At 35.9% G+C, this 16,301-nt stretch overlaps 1 long non-coding RNA gene across 1 annotated transcript in view, besides 1 other annotated feature; it reads left to right on the top strand.

The window, feature by feature from the left end:
* LOC105370768 (uncharacterized) overlaps nucleotides 1–16,264 on the top strand; it is a 38,329-nt gene extending 22,065 nt beyond the window's left edge. The window contains exon 3 of the long non-coding RNA XR_932110.1: nucleotides 16,148–16,264. This is a non-coding gene — a long non-coding RNA (uncharacterized LOC105370768). The remainder of the gene's footprint in view (nucleotides 1–16,147) is intronic.
* Nucleotides 11,072–11,724: an enhancer, noted in NCBI's record as "H3K27ac hESC enhancer chr15:36772043-36772695 (GRCh37/hg19 assembly coordinates)". NCBI's record gives its function as "activates a minimal SCP1, AML or CMV promoter by ChIP-STARR-seq in naive H9 embryonic stem cells {active_cell/tissue: H9 hESC(naive)}" and the evidence as "EXISTENCE:reporter gene assay evidence [ECO:0000049][PMID:30033119]".
* Nucleotides 16,265–16,301: the final 37 nt, after the last annotated feature.

Consider the following 16,301-nt stretch of genomic DNA (forward strand, 5'->3'; position numbering starts at 1 on the left):
AAGTTGATGTGATTTGAATTGCATGATCCAGATGGTGTTTTCCATCTTTCATGCTCTTTTGGTTGTGGCCACATCTTGCCTATGGCTTTTGTGGCAGGACACACTCACCAGTCAGCAATTTCACCACTGCTTGGGTCCAAATGAGCTATGGAGAAAGAAATTAGAGTCAATGAAGAGGCCGCAGCTGGGAGAGATCAGCCACACTCAACAAGCCTTCTCCCACATACATAAACAGACCAGACAGAGGGAAGGAGGGTGAAGAAACAACACACTGAGGTTTAGACGGTAGTACTTAAGGCCTGCAAAGTCTACCTAACCACATGACATGCGCCTGCATGTTCTAACCCGATCGTTGAAAATCCCCAAGTGTCTCTGAAAAGGTGGCTATTAAATTTCTCACCTGAAACATTCGAATGCTTTCTGATACCACAAAATATTTTTTCACAGACTCAAACTGTTCTGTAAATACTTAACTGAAAGGAGAGAATAATTTAGTAAGTTTATTCTCATGTAAGAAAGTGTCTCCTTTAATAATGGACTATGTTAGCTTGGTTTTGAGTTCCTGCTGTGGTTTTAAATCTCTATCTTCACTGCAGTTCTTAGTTGAAATTTTCTAGGATTCAAAAATTCACATGGACTACGATCCTATCCTGTTTATTAGAAGAAACATTAAAGCCTGTAACATGTCTTTCATAGCATATTGCATTTGCACCTGAGCTGTAAAAGGAAACGAATGCCTTTAGCAACGGATTATGGCTTTTTAAGTACCACTTTCCTTGCATAATACTGCAATAAAAAAAAGAAAACATCCAAATGAGATATCAGTATTTTTTTTCTAAAGAGTGGGGGAAATTTTTAACTCCGTATTGTGTTTTATGTTCTGCTACCTGCTATTGAAAAGCTAAGATTTTTTTTTCTTCTTTTGTCAAAAGCAAACTTCCATTCCTCTGTGTCACGAAGCATGCATGGCATCTCAGCCTCTGCTTAGAATGAACAAAATTGTGTGAATGAGCAAATCTTTACCACGATTTTTCTGGCCCATGATGCTTTTCCACAGGAAAAAACACAGGATCTAAATTGTGGCCTGTATTAATAGCAAAGGCAAAGCTATATAAGCTCTGAGCAGCGTTCACAGTTTTAGAATAAACAGTTCTTGAAAATACTGGGCATAGCTTCTAAAATCCAATTAATAAAGTAGTCTACCCAGTCACCAGGCAGAGCTGCTACAAGCAGGAGTTTTCCCTTTTCAATCTTTTTCTTCAATGCTATTTAAATGATGGGGGGAAAGTAAGAAGAAGAAATAAAAGAAAGCAAGCCACTCTCACATGTTTCTAATTGGAATATGCTGACTTTCTCAAAGATAAAATGTATCGAGAGACTTAATGTTGCTCCTACCTTTGGAACCAGTAATTCTACGCCTAAGAATTAATTTTAAATCAGAGAGTTAGGCAAAGATTTTTGCAAGTTTTTTTCATGTAATGGTGACACATAAGAAGCAGTATCAGTGTCCAAAAATAGGAAAAAAAATCAAATCAAATATGGCATAGGATGATTTGAAGAATATTTATTAACACTGAAAAATACTGTGAAACAATGTTATGCTTTTCAAATGATACAAAACTATTTATAAATATTATCCTAATGTTTTAAGTATATATTTATGTGTATGTGTTTACATATGTGCTGATTTATAGCATATATACAAATAAAATCTAAGAATAGAAGGAAAAACATGATTTTCATTTTCTTCAACATTGCCTGTAATTCCTAAATTATCTACAATGAACACAGATTGAAGTTAAAATTAGAAAAAGAACGTTTTTAAAGTACATTAAAAATAACAAGATCAAATATCCTGAGGAGTTTAAAAATCATACATCTTGGAGAAAAATAAATCCATCTGCACTAGATGGGTTTTCTTAAATCAATATTAAAAAGTTAATGTTTTAGTTTATAAAGGAATAGCTTATAAGTAGAAAAGATTCCATCTATTTTTTTAATTGAAAAAAATGACAATTTACATTTACATAGCATAAGAAAATCTGAAAGTGCTATTTCAAAGACCGCTATTCACTCACCATCACCTTGCAGGTTTCTTCTGGTTACCAAACACCAGTTGTAAGAATTCAGATGAATAATAAAACTCACAAAATGATAGCATTGGAATTGGGGTGGGTCTCAGGAATCATTTGTTCGAGAGATTTCCAAACCATGTTCAATAAAAACCAGCCTAGCAGTTGTTCTTAGGATCCACCTCAGAGAAGCAAGAAGGTCACTGAGCATATGGGACTGCTTCGACCATTTTTAACCTGTTTTATATAGTGAATCTTGTCTTAGCGTAGATTCCTCCAAAAGAAGACAAGATTTGGGTGCAAATATTTTATTTGAGAGGCAAATCCAGGAAGCACTGTGAGGGAAATGGAGAGGAAGGGGTCGAAGAAGGAAACCTAATAAAGGTATTACTAAGAGGATTACCACTGTGGACAAATGGCAGGCACTCCATCTGGCTGGGACCCTCTGACAGACTGTGGAACATGCCTCTTACAACAGTTTCGCTGCAGGAGAGAAGGCGGAAATATTTATCTACCAACACTTGTCCCTTGCTGATGGAAGGGCCATTGAAGGTTAATTCGCTGACACTTGCTGACTACCCGGACTAAGCACTATTCTGGAAACCATCCTGAGCTGCGAGACACAGGGAGGCTTCAACAAGCACATAGGAATTCCCTTTAAAAGTCCTGGCTCGACCGGGCGCGGTGGCTCACGTCTGTAATCCTAGCACTTTGGGAGGCCGAGGCGGGCGGATCACGAGGTCAGGAGATCGAGACCATCCTGGCTAACACGGTGAAACCCCGTCTCTACTAAAAATACAAAAAAAAAAAAAAAAAATAGCCGGGCGTGGTGGCAGGCACCTGTGGTCCCAGCTACTCGGGAGGCTGAGGCAGGAGAATGGCGTGAACCCGGGAGGCGGAGCTTGCAGTGAGCCAAGATCGCGCCACTGCAATCCAGCCTGGGCCACAGGGCGAGATTCCGTCTCAAAAAAAAAAAAAAAAAAAAAAAAAAAAAAAAAAAAAGTCCTGGCTCACAAAAGATTTCAACACCACTGTCAATTTCATGTCTTTGTATTCCAAAAGGAAAGGAAATTGAGGTTCAAGGAAGTCAAATGACTTAGCCAAGGTCACATAGCCTGTTAGTGGCAGAAGTAAGACTAGATTAAGTCCTGGTTCCTGGCCCTTTCCAATTCTTAAACCACACACCTGAAATCATGGAGAGAACACAGGCTTTGAGGCAGATTAGACTTGACCGTGAATCCTGGCTCTGTCACCTACAAAATGTTGGGCAGACTATTCAATCTAACTGAAACTCAGTTTCCTCATTGAAAAAAGGAAAAATACTGTGAGTGTTTAATATGGACACTTTCGTTAAATATTCATTCCCTTGCAAATGCCTTAAAATATCAAGCAATTGTCCATTGTACTAGGTCACTAGCCAGCGTAGCTGCAAGCAAGAGTCTACCGTTTCTATCGTTTGAATAAAGCACAAAAATGTGTATTTTAAGATATGATCTATCATTTGCCCTTCATGGCATTCCAACTCTGAATACTTGTTATTCTATTATCTTTCTTGGTGAGCTCCTGTACCATTTAGAACTATTTTAGAGCAGTAGTTTTTGTGTTATAATAAAGTAACTAGATAAATATATAAGTGAATATTGTAACTTTTACATTTTATCGTAATAAGAATTAACAGTACACCTTTGGGTGCGTAATATACTCCAAGCACCCTTTAAAGCAGATTTCACATGGATTATCTCAATAAATTGCAATAACCATCCTTAATAATGCTAACACTAGGATCAATTTGCTAATGAGAAAATTGAAACGTATTGAAGGTAAATAACCTGCCCAGGTCATGTAATTAGAATGCAACATAACTTGAGCCCCAACTTAGATCTGAATGACTCCAGGACTAGAGCCCTTCATAAGTGCACCTTATTCCTTTCCACTTTTTTGACAAATTGGACAGATCATATGCATACAAGTGTACATGATCCTCCGAACCTCTTGCACAATAGGCTAGGGCAGCGCTCAAATGATCAATCGTGGTTTAGTAGAATTGCTCAACATTCTGCCTTAACAGATCACCATCACATCCCACTCTCCTTTATTGAATCTTTGGAACCAGACAAATCTTGGTTCAAATTCTGGTTAGCACTTCATATCTGTATCATGTGGGACAAATGACTTCATTTCCATGTGACTTAGTTCTCAACAATGTCTAACTTGCAGAATTAGAAAAATTAATGTGGCCAGGTGCAGTGGCTCATGCCTGTAATCCCAGTGCTTTGGCAGACCGAGCAGGATGATCACTTGAGGACAAGAATTTGAGACCAGCCTGGGCAACATAGCCAGACCCTGTTAAAAAAAAAAAGTAAATAAATAACAATTAGTGGCTAGGAACGGTGGCTCATGCCTGTAATCCCAGCACTTTGGGAGGCTGAAGCAGGTGGATCACCTGAGATCAGGAGTTTGAGACCAGCTGGACCAACATGGCAAAACCCCGTCTCTACTAAAAATATAAAAAATTAGCTGGGCATGGTGGTGCATGCCTGTAATCCCAGCTACTCGGGAGTTTGAGGCAGGAGAATCACTTGAACCCAGGAGGCGGAGGTTGTAGTGAGCAGAGATCGCACCATTGCACTCCAGGCTGGGCAAAAGTGACACCCTGTCTCAAAATAAGTAAATAGATAAATAAAAATTAAACTTAAAAATAATGAAGCACAAAGGTGCATACCTGTACTCCTAACTACTTGGAAGGCCTGAGGCAGGAGGATCCCTGTAACCCAAAAGTTCAAGGTTGCAGTTAGCTATGATTATGCCATTGTACTCCAGCCTGGGTGACAGAGTAAGACCTTAACTCTAACTTAAAATAAAATGAAGTTATATTTCAAGAATCAGAGATATAGTACATGTTCACAAAAATATAGCTAGAAATTACTACTTCCTAATTGTCAGTAAAGAATTTACTCCACATACACTAACTATTTTGAATGCTCTGGACTCCAGATTGGCCTTATAGATGTCTTATTGCTCAAAGTGTGTGAAAATGGAACTGCTGTATTAATCAAACTTCTCTACTGTTCTGAGTAGTGGTCATGACTAAAATCTTGTGTTAGACCTTGCACAATAAATAAAATTGGTTCTATATCCTCAAATAAATATCAGTTTGTAGGTTTATGTAGAATGTATAAAGAGAAAGAATGAATAATATACACATACACATAATACCATCACATGTGTTTATACATTTGCATATATAAATAAAATAATAAACTCATTTCTGCTTTAGATAGATTGTGAAATAAAACATGCAAATTTTACTATTCCCACAGCATAATAAGTGTGTTGCCCATTTTGGTGAATGGTGTGACTGTAGCAAAGGGTTAAGAATCAGATAAAGGATGGAGGAAGTAAAATTTTACATTGAAAATCTATTTTGAAAATCCTATGATTGCCCATCAGTGAAGTCATTTTGGAAAAATAGCCTGTGGGTGAAATTGTAAACACCATATGTTTTTGAATATTGTAGTGTTGTCTAAGAAAATTACTGAAAAAGACAAATTTAATGCCAAGAATATTTTGAATTGGCAGTTATATCTATAATATTAATAACCCTTTTCTTTTAACACCTTGCTGAAACTACAAATAATTATTTATATAACTAAAATGAAGGCTACAAAGAATTTCTTTATTGAATTTTACCGATACCATATTTGTTGGAAAAGAGCTTCTAGGGGAAAAAGAGCTTCTAGGGGAATAAAAGCTTGTCATTAATCCACAGATTTTTGTTGTTGTTGTTGCTGTTTCTATCACTCACACACTCTGACCTTTCTGTGTCTGAGATTTCTCACATAAATCCAGGCAAAATAATGCTATTTGTCCTCAAAGTTCATTGCAAAAATTGAATAAATAGAGTTAGACATTATAAAATTAAAACCACTGAGCACCTACAAACCATATTTTACATTTTTGGTTCCCTCAATTACTCTGAAAAGCAAATGTAGAAGACATCATAGAAAAATGCAAGCTTCAGGATCATTTTCTAGTGCAAATATTAAATCACAATAGAAAACATTAAGAATTCATTTTTTTGGCAATGACTTGGTCTAAAGGCAGTAGAAGGGAGATGGCTGGCATGCTCCATGCCAGCGTTTGATGAGATAAACATAATATTTGTAATAATGCATGTTCTAATAGTACATTCTGAAGAAGCCCCAGAAGAAGTAATAATGGAATCCAAAAGGCATTTTCACACAGTGTTGGTACATATATCAGTCAGCCATCACACGGCTTGGGAGTTGTATAAATGTTTATGCATCATTTTGAACAGGTTTATCAGTCTCAATGCTTTCAGGTGTTGAACACCAGATTTATCAAACTTATCCATGTGAAATTTAAAACTGGTTTACCACTAGTTAATACAGACTCACATGAACAATCATTTCCTGTGAGTGCCCATTAATTAGACAAACGGAGTGCTAACAAACAGAACTGCTGTGTCATTCAGGCGAGCCCTCCAACCACTCTGGGCTGCGGTAACTCCATCTGTAAAGCAGAGGGCATGGATTGGTTGATTGCCAGTTTCCTCTTAACACTAAAGCTTTATTTACTGTTATTTTGTGTAGTTCTTTTCATCAATTCTGTTTGGAAGAATTGTACCGAACTAGAAAGTTTTAAGATGGTGTAATATGTCTTGAAAAGCTTTAGAAATGTTTTCTTCCAAATTATTTCCAATCTTCCTCTCATATTTGCCCACTTACGTATTTACTAACCAGGTGATAAATAAGTCCATTTTCTCCTACCCCTTAACTTATGTATAATTATATATTCATATACTTGTTATTCTATTTCTATTTATATCTTTCCAATCTATTACAAAGTAATCTCTTGAGAACAAGATGTATGCCTGTGTTGTTTTTGTAGTTCTCAATGTACTTAGCGAAGTGTTTGTTCATATGATGCAGTCATTAAATACTTTTTAATAAACTCGTGCCTGAAGGTGTCCCTTGAGAGTGAACTTCAGCATATGCCCCTCCTCGCCACGGCCACACTCACTAAGGCTGTGGATGTGGCATCATCTGAAATCTGGATTAGAGAATTCCTCCACTCTTGCCTTCACCCCATTGCTCTAACCCGTTACAGAAATCCTCTGCTCTTGCTTTCTACCCTCTTGGCTCTGAGAATTGGTTCATCCTCCTTGTTTTGTTCCATTTAGTTTTGGCAACTGTTCCCAGACTGTTTGCCTTGTTTACTGACCTCAGAAACCCCAAAGACTTGTCTGTGCTAATTGCCTCCACCTTCTTTGGCTCCAAATTCCAAATCATTGCCCAGACCAAGCCTTTGAGACACCAACTGCCCCATCTTATGGAAAGGAGATGATATTTGATTTCTTTGGACAACATCCATCTTATCAGGTTCATCCAAAACTCAGATTTATTTGTAATGGACACTTGAAGCCCAGAATGAAGTAATGTTAAATAGTTTCTAGCTGTGAAGGTGAGTGGAACATTCATTCTGTTCCAATAACAAATGTCTACATTGAGAATAATGCAGTAAAGAAAAGGATGCACTTCTTAATATGAGATATGTGTGAGGAACATGGAAAATAATTAAGAATTAAGGAAGATAAGATATAATTGAATTACGGAAAAAGCGTTAAAAAGAACTGCAGAGCTTTAAACAAATAGAAGATCTAATAAAAATCCTCACTCGACATAAATCCTTTATGAAATATTGCTGATACATGATCATTCAGATTCTGTATTATTTCCAGAAATAAAGGGCTAAGTAAGTCAATCTCTTAGGAATTTCATATTGAAAGGAAATTTTCATTCAGTAATTTCCACAATGTTTGTCCTAGTTCGGTCCTTTGAAATTGCCAGAAAAAAAAAAAGTCTTCTTTCTTTTCAGTAAGATGACTTTCTTTTTTCTTTTCTCTTTTTTTTTTTTTTTTTTTTTTTTTTTAGAGTCTCACTCTGATGCCCAGGCTGGAGTGCAGTGGTGCAATCATAGCTCACTGCAGCCTCAACCTCCTGGACTCTAGCCATCCTCCCGCCTCAGCCTTCCGAATAGCTAGGACTACAGGCATGCACCACCATGCCCAGCTAATTTTTGTATTTTTTGTAGAAACAGGGTCCTGCTCTGTTGCCCAGGCTGGTCTCAAATTCCTGGGCTCCACTGATCCTCCCACTTCAGCATCCCAAAGTGTTGGGATTACAGTTGTGAGCAGTTGTGCCCTGCCAAAATAACACTTTAAACACTTTAAATATTGTAAGATGATCCTGACAGCACCTACTACTACCACCATCTTTGTATGTGTGTGTGTGTGTGTACGTATACATAGCAACATGTACAGCTAATCATAAAAGCTTTCTGCTTGTTAATACTAAGGCAAATACATTACATACATAATCTCCTTACTATAACTTGTAAAGCTATTTATTGGCCCCACTGAGCATTCATGTTTATCTTTTCAGAGCATGACACTAATAATGTGGCCTTTAAGCTTGAATTTTAAAATGAGAATAATGTTGATACTTACCTCATATAGGTATTGTCAGGCTTAAGTTAATTAAAGTCTGTTACAAGGATTGAATGAGGTAAAGTACAGAAAGCACAAGATATTTAACAAACTGCAACAATCATTAGCCATTAATATTAACTGTTTTAAGCCAGGCATCCTCAATCTTTTTCCATTTGTTTAATTATATTCATAAAATTAAATAATTATATAATTATTTTTAGAAATATACGTTCAGTATAAAAATTAAAACAAAAAGAAGTAGAACTAACAGATAACATGTAGCAGAAAAATAAAGATAACATTTGGGGTATATATGTTGAATTTTTCATTGACATATAATTGTTTACATAGATTAAGATTATCTAATGTGTATTCTGGGTTTTTAGCATTAATCACAAGCATCTTACTATGTTGTTGGGTATTCTATTTATAAGTTACTTTTTGATGGATGCATATTTCATGAAGTGCATGTATATATATATGCATATTATATATGCACATAGTTTACATTTGGGATATGTGTATTTGTGTGTGTGTGTGTATGTGTGTGACTATTGAACGTCATTGTGTTGATTTTGTATTGATTTGATAGGTTCAATATTTTAATATAGTTCTCACAGTTCTGCAGCTTCTACAAACATGATTTGTTTGCCTAAGTCTTTGTTCAAATTATTCATATAAACTATGAGGAAAAAATATCTAGGACAGATGTTTCTGGCATGTCACTGGAGACGCTACTCCAGTTTGATATTGATCCATTAATCAAAACTCTGTGACCATTGTTCAAACAGCTACAAATTCACTAGCTATACTATTATTTAGTCTACGTCTCTATATTATTAATAACAAGATGGTAAAACTCCTTCCAAAATATGCCATCACAGGTAGATTCATTTTGCATAAGTTCAAATAATTACATAGAACTAGAAACTAGGTAAATTTTAGAAGCAACCATTTAAAAATAGCTATTAGTAGGTAATATGAATTAATAATTGATTTGTCTCATTTCCAGTAGACATTGATTCATACAATATTTAGAGACCACTTGTTAGGGACCTTGTCCTACATCTCATGTTTCTAAACAAATATATATTTCTAAATAGAAAAAGGATAATGACTTTGGCTGAAAAATCAGGTTTATTTTTGTAGAAACAAAAGCACAGAAAGGTATTTTCAGGTAATTTGTTTTTTAAATATAAAAGCATGGGCAGTTGCATAGATGAATGGATGGATGGATGGTTGGATGGATGGATGGAATATCACGTCCAAAAAATGTATAGCATGTTAAAGCTTTCATGGTCAATGGTACATTGTTCTGTGTTCAGTGAGTTTTACTTGTGGGTTGAGAGGCAAGTCTTCTCAAAGTATATGTTTGCTAGAAGAATCAGCTCTTATCTGTCAGTTTCGAGTACTATATAATGGCAGCATTGTTTTGTTCCACTGCTTAATAACTTAGATATTTCAATGGATAGATTGTATTCTTAGCAAATATAGTTCTTCACATACCAGAAAAAATGTCAAGTAAAATTAGACTTCAAATGTTAGCTTACCACTATAATATGATTTGTTATTTTTCATGGCACTACCCAAAAATAATTCTAAAAGAATTGCTCATCCTTTATTATGATGCATTAACAAGGTTGACAAAATTAAGGGAGAGCTTTCTTACCTTTCTGATATTTGGAAATAGCCTCCTTATCCAGCATGTTACAAAAACCATGCAATTTTTCTTACCACTATTTCTAACTTTAATTTGTCTTTGTTCTAATTTTCCTTTAGTTTATTATCTAGAAGTTAAGATTTCTTACACATTTCTCCTACATAGTATATCATGAAAAGTATACTAAAAGGGAAAAAGGTAACTTGCAATGGGTAATCAGATGTTAAAGCTACTAATCAATGTTAAAGCTCATTTTTAATAGTTTCGTAAAATGAGAAAGTAGTTGAAAACCACTAGAAAACCGCTGGAGACATTATTTACAGATTCTATTTGTATGACAAGAAAGACTGTAAAGTTATGCAACACAAAGGCAGATTCCTTAGTCGTCATTTTCTTCCACTGTAATGACGTCCACTACATTGTTATTCATAACAGAGTAAACAAGCATTTACACATTGTAAAAACGCTGCATATGAAGAAAAGAAAAAAAGTTAAGACAAAAAACTAACATATATTGAGCACCTACTATGTGTCAGCATTTATATAATTTTCTTTACTTTTAATACTCACAAAGCTTTGTGAAGTGATCAGAATTAGAAGCTTAAAGGAGCTGAGCTACTTTACCAAGTCCTCATAGCTAGTTAGTGGCGCAGCCTAGCTCCACCTTCAAAATTCAAGCTCTTTCTCATCCACTGGCCACCTTTAGCTCCCTGTAGCTGACTGCCTTTCAGTCTTTCATGAAGCAAACAAAAAACCACTAAGATGTTGTGAAACATCTTAAGACATTTAAAAATATTTATAGTCATTCCTATTATCGCTGTGATTAAAACAAGCAATATTAATCTTAACGATGATGGTGCTTTCGAGGCTTTTTTTTTTCTGAGACAGTGTCACTCTGTCATCCAGACTGAAGCACAGTGGCACAATCATAGCTCCCTGCAGCCTCAAACCCCTCTGGGCTCAAGGGATTCTCCCACCTCAGCCTCCCAAGTAGCTGGGACACAGGTAAGCACCAGCACAGATTTTGAGCGTTTTTGTTTTGTTTTGAAACAGAGTCTTACTCTGTCGCCCAGGCTGGAGTGCAGTGGCACGATCTCGGCTCGGTGCAACCTCTGCCTCCCAGGTTCAAGCGATTCTCTGCCTCAGCCTCCCAAGTAGCTGGGATTACAGGCATCCACCACCATGCCCAGTTAATTTTTGTATTTTTAGTAGAGACTGGGTTTCACCATGTTGGCCAGGTTGGTCTCGAACTCCTGACCTTGTGATCCACCCACCTCGGCCTCCCAAAGTGCTGGGATTACAGGCGTGAGCCACTGTGCCCAGCCAGATTTTGAGTTTTAAGTTGCCTCTCTCAGAACCCTTAATAGTATCTAGAACACAATGACACTGAGTTTCTCTTCACAACCCAACAACTAACTTTTAGGGTCACGATATAACACATATTAGCATAGGACAGGGGAACATCAAGATTGACTTGCAGCCCTTCTCTAGGCTTTGAGAAACCCTACGTCTTTATTTGTTAGCACCAGATTAAGAGGAGAAATCAACTCCAAATTTCAGTGTAATTTATGAAAGCAATATTTAGACTTCTAATAGAACAAATCTCTCTTAAGTCAAAACTATGGCGGCACCATGAGTGAAAGATCCAAATTATTTTTATTCTTCTTCTCTTCATTGTACTCTTTCTCTAATCCTTGCTTCTCATTTATTTAACAGACATTTATTATGCATTTACCATGTCCCTTGAATTTTGCTGGCACCATTTGTTAGTCTCTAGTAAGAAAAACTAGCAAAACTTAAATATTAGTAATACTAGAAAAAAATGTACTTTCAACACATTGATAAAATTTATCAGTCATGCTGAAGGATAATTTATGGACAACAAAGAAAAGTTTCTTAACAAATTAAATAATAATGAAGATAAACAGATGATGGATAGATATCAATCTTATACCTAAAAAAGAAATTACATTTAGAGTCGTATCAATTAGACATGGCAAGAACAGTACCAAAATTATATCCGGTGTTTTTATTTGACATTGTTCGTGAAATTTTGACTAATTTCAAAAAGATGTAAGGCAGTAATTATGTGTTATTATTAGGAAAGATAAGAGAAAATTATGATAATTTACAATTGATACTGTTGTGTACCTGGAACTTCACTATACAAAAAATCAGCACATAAATGTGAGAATAAGAGAGTTCAATAAAATGATGAAAGATGGGATCATTTTTTCAGCTGTTCATTTCAGAAACTTTTACATCTGTAAGAGCTGAAAGAGTAGTACAATGAACACTTGCATTTTTAACCATGATTCACCAACTGTTAAAATTTTGCTACATTGGCTTTTTTTCTCATTTGATTCATATTTCTATTTGTTTGTGTATTTTTCTCTCTCTTTTTTTATTTTTTGGCTAAGACATTTGAAAGAAAACTGAAGACATTGCAACACTTGATTTCTAAAACTCCAGCATGTATACAAAAGTATTTTAAAAGTTGATATCTTCTCATAGGTAAAAAATAACTAGTTAGAACGCAAAATGAAAAATGTATCATTTGCAGTAACAACAAAAAATTAATGTCTTAGCCCATTAGGGCTGCTATAACAAAATGCCAGAAACTGGGAAGCTTATAAACAATAACAATTGATTTCTCCTAGTTCTGGAGGCTGGGAAGTTTAAGATCAAGGCACCAGCAGATTTAGTGTCTTGTGAGGAACCACTTCCTGGTTCACAGATGGTGTCTTCTTGCTATGTCTTCACATGGTGGAAGGGCAAGGCAGCAGTCTGGGGCCTCTTTTATAAGGTCATTGTATTAGTCCGTTCTCACACCACTAATAAAGACATACCTGAGACTGGGTAATTTATAAAGGAAAGATGTTTAATTGACTCACTGTTCAGCATGGCTGGGGAGACCTCAGGAAACTTACAATCATGGCAGAAGGGAAAGCAAACACATCCTTCTTCACATGCTGGCAGCAAGGAGAAGTGCAAGCAAAAGTGGGGAAAGCACCTTATAAAACTATCAGATCTTGTGAGAACTCACTCACTATCATGAGAACAGCAGCACGAGGGTAGCCACCCCTAAGATTCAATTACCTCCTACTAGGTCCCACCCACGACACGTGGGGATTATGGGAACTACAATTCAAGACGAGATTTGGGTGGGGACAGAACCAAACCATATCTGTCACTAATTCCATTGATTAGTGCTCCACCTTTCTGACCCAATGACCTCCTAAAAGGCCTCACTTCCAACCACTTTCAGGGGTTGGATTTCAGCAGATGATTTGAGGAGGACACAAACATTCAGACCATAGCAATAAATGGCCTTATTGAGAAATACATTAGACCTAAATGAAAAAAACTATTAAAAATTTACTAAAATACATCTAAAAAATTATATTCCTGGATAAAAGATAACACATAATGTAATACCATTTTCCCAAATTAATTTATATGTATATATTATACAAAATCCAATCAGAAGTGTATTGTGATATTTTTAAAAACAACAAAATATTTCTAATGTTGATCGGAAAGAAAGATCAGGCAAAAATCTGACATACAGCTTTGAAAAGAAGTATGTAAAGACTAATTCCACATTTAGGCTTCCTAGTGAACTAGAGACCATAAATTCTGAATTAGCACCAAATTTGAGTCTCAGTATATCACTACAACTTGTTTGACCTCTGAAGAATGATTTAACTTCTCAGAATTTCTGGTTTCTCAGCTATAAAATAGATGTGAAGATGCCTGTCTTGCATAGCTATATGAAGATTCCAAGCAACCCACTTTAAAAATCTAGCATAATCTCCAGACAATGAAGAAAAATTCAATATCTGTTTTAGAGGTTATTTTTTGGTCTTTGGAGACTATAATCAATTTGGGTCCAAAATAAATTTCAGCTTTATGTAAAGATTATTACCAAAAAACTTATAAAATTTAAAAATTAAGAAATAAGGAAAGATAAATTGTAGAAAAAGAAAATGTAAACTAAAATTTATCAAATCCCTGGAATAAAGACTTTTACCTTAAGAGTGATGTAATATGCCATGCATGGTGGCTCACGTCTGTAATCCCAGAACATTGGGAAGCCGAGCCAGGTGGATCACTTGAGGTCAGGAGTTCGAGACCAGCCTGGCCAACATGGTGAAACCCCATCTCTACTAAAAAATACAAAAATTAGCTGGGCGTTGTGGCACGCGCTTGTAGTCCCAGCTACTCAGGAGGCTGAGACATGAGAATCACTGGAACCTGAGAGGCAGAGGTTGCAGTGAACTGAGATCACACCACTGCACTCCAGCCTGAGCAACAGAGTGAGACTCTCTCAAAAAAAAAAAAAAAAAAAGCGATGTAATAAATTATTAAAAATTATGCATAGAAAAATTTCTGGAAGAAAACATATCCAAATTCAGTCATGCACTGGACCGCATATATGATGGTGGTCCCATGGTATTGCAATGGAGTTGAAAGATTTCTACTGCCTAGTGGTGGTAGCCATCCTAACATTGTAACACAAGGAATAACTCACATGTTTATAGTGACACTGGTGTAAACAAATCTACTACACTGTCAGTCTTATAAAAGCATAGCACATACAATTATATAGAGTAGCTAATACTTGCTGATGATAGTAAATGACTATGTTACTTGATCTATGTATTTACTTTTTATCATTAGTGTGTTCTTGTCTCATAAAAAGAAAGTTCACTGTAAAACAGCCTCAGGCAGGTCCTTCAGGAGGAATTTCAGAAGCAGGCATTCTTATCATAGGAGATGACAGCTCTATGTGCGTTATTGCCCCTGAAGACCTTCTAGTGGGACAAGACGTAGAGATGGAAAACAGTGATATTGATGATCTTGAACCTGTGTAGGCCTAGGCTAATTTGTGTGTTCCTGTCTTCATTTTTAACAAAAAGTTTGAAATGTTAAAAAAAAAAAAACTAAAGAGAAAAAAGCTTATAAAGATATTAAGAAACAAAATATTTTTGTACAACCATAGCAATGCATTTGTGTTTTAAGCTGTTACTTAAAAGGATTCAAAAAGTTTACCATTTTTTTTAAGTTTACAAAGTTAAAAAGTTAGAGTAAGCTAAGGTTAATTTATTATTGAAGAAAGAAAAATATTTTTTATAAATTTAGTGTAGCTTAAGTGTACAGTGTTTATAAAGTTTAGAGTAGTGTACAGTAATGTCCTAGGCCTTCACATTCACTCACCACTCATTCAATGACTCACCCAGAGCAACTTCCAGTCCTATAAGCTCCATTTTTGATAAGTGCGTAATACAGGTATACCCTTTTTTTGTGTTTTATACTGTATTTTTACTGTATCTTTTCTATGTTTAGATCTGTTTGGATACACAAACTCTATTATATTATAATTACCTACAGTATTCAGTACAGTAATGTGCTATATAGGTTTGTAGCTTAGGAACAATATATACCATATAGACTAGGTACATAGTAGGCTATATCATCTAAGTTTGTGTAAGTACACTCTATGATGTTCACACAATGACAAAATCACCTAATAATGCATTTCTCAGAACATATTCCACCTGTTAACCAATGCATGACTGTACATTCATCACTGGGTAAATAGTCAAATGAATGAATGAGTTGATTGATTGGAAGTAAATTTCTAAGCTGGTGAGAAATCTGATGAGAAGGCTGACAGCTGTGGGAAGGATGGACTTGTAGGCAACACAAAGAAGAGACGTTAGAAGTCCATTGCACAGGTAATAAATGATGGACCTGCTTTGTGAAAGTGTGACTAGAGCTAGAAGCGTAAGTCAGCTAATCTGCTGTGTGCTTGATGCCAAATTATAATATCAGTCCCTTAGCTCTTTTACAGTGCCTCTAGTTTACTACTACTGTCTATTTTCTCATTACTCTTCACAGAAACCAGCATATCATTTGTCTTATCTGTTCAGTGCCTATGCAATGCTTGGCATAAAAAGGGGGAGAATAAATAAGAAGAAAGAGGTACAGAGAAGGAATCAGAAAGAAAAGGAAAGAAGGAAATCAAAATAGAAAAGAGAAAAGGTGGGAAAGA

This window comes from Homo sapiens, chromosome 15 (assembly GCF_000001405.40).
Source record: "Homo sapiens chromosome 15, GRCh38.p14 Primary Assembly".
Lineage (NCBI taxonomy): Eukaryota > Metazoa > Chordata > Mammalia > Primates > Hominidae > Homo > Homo sapiens.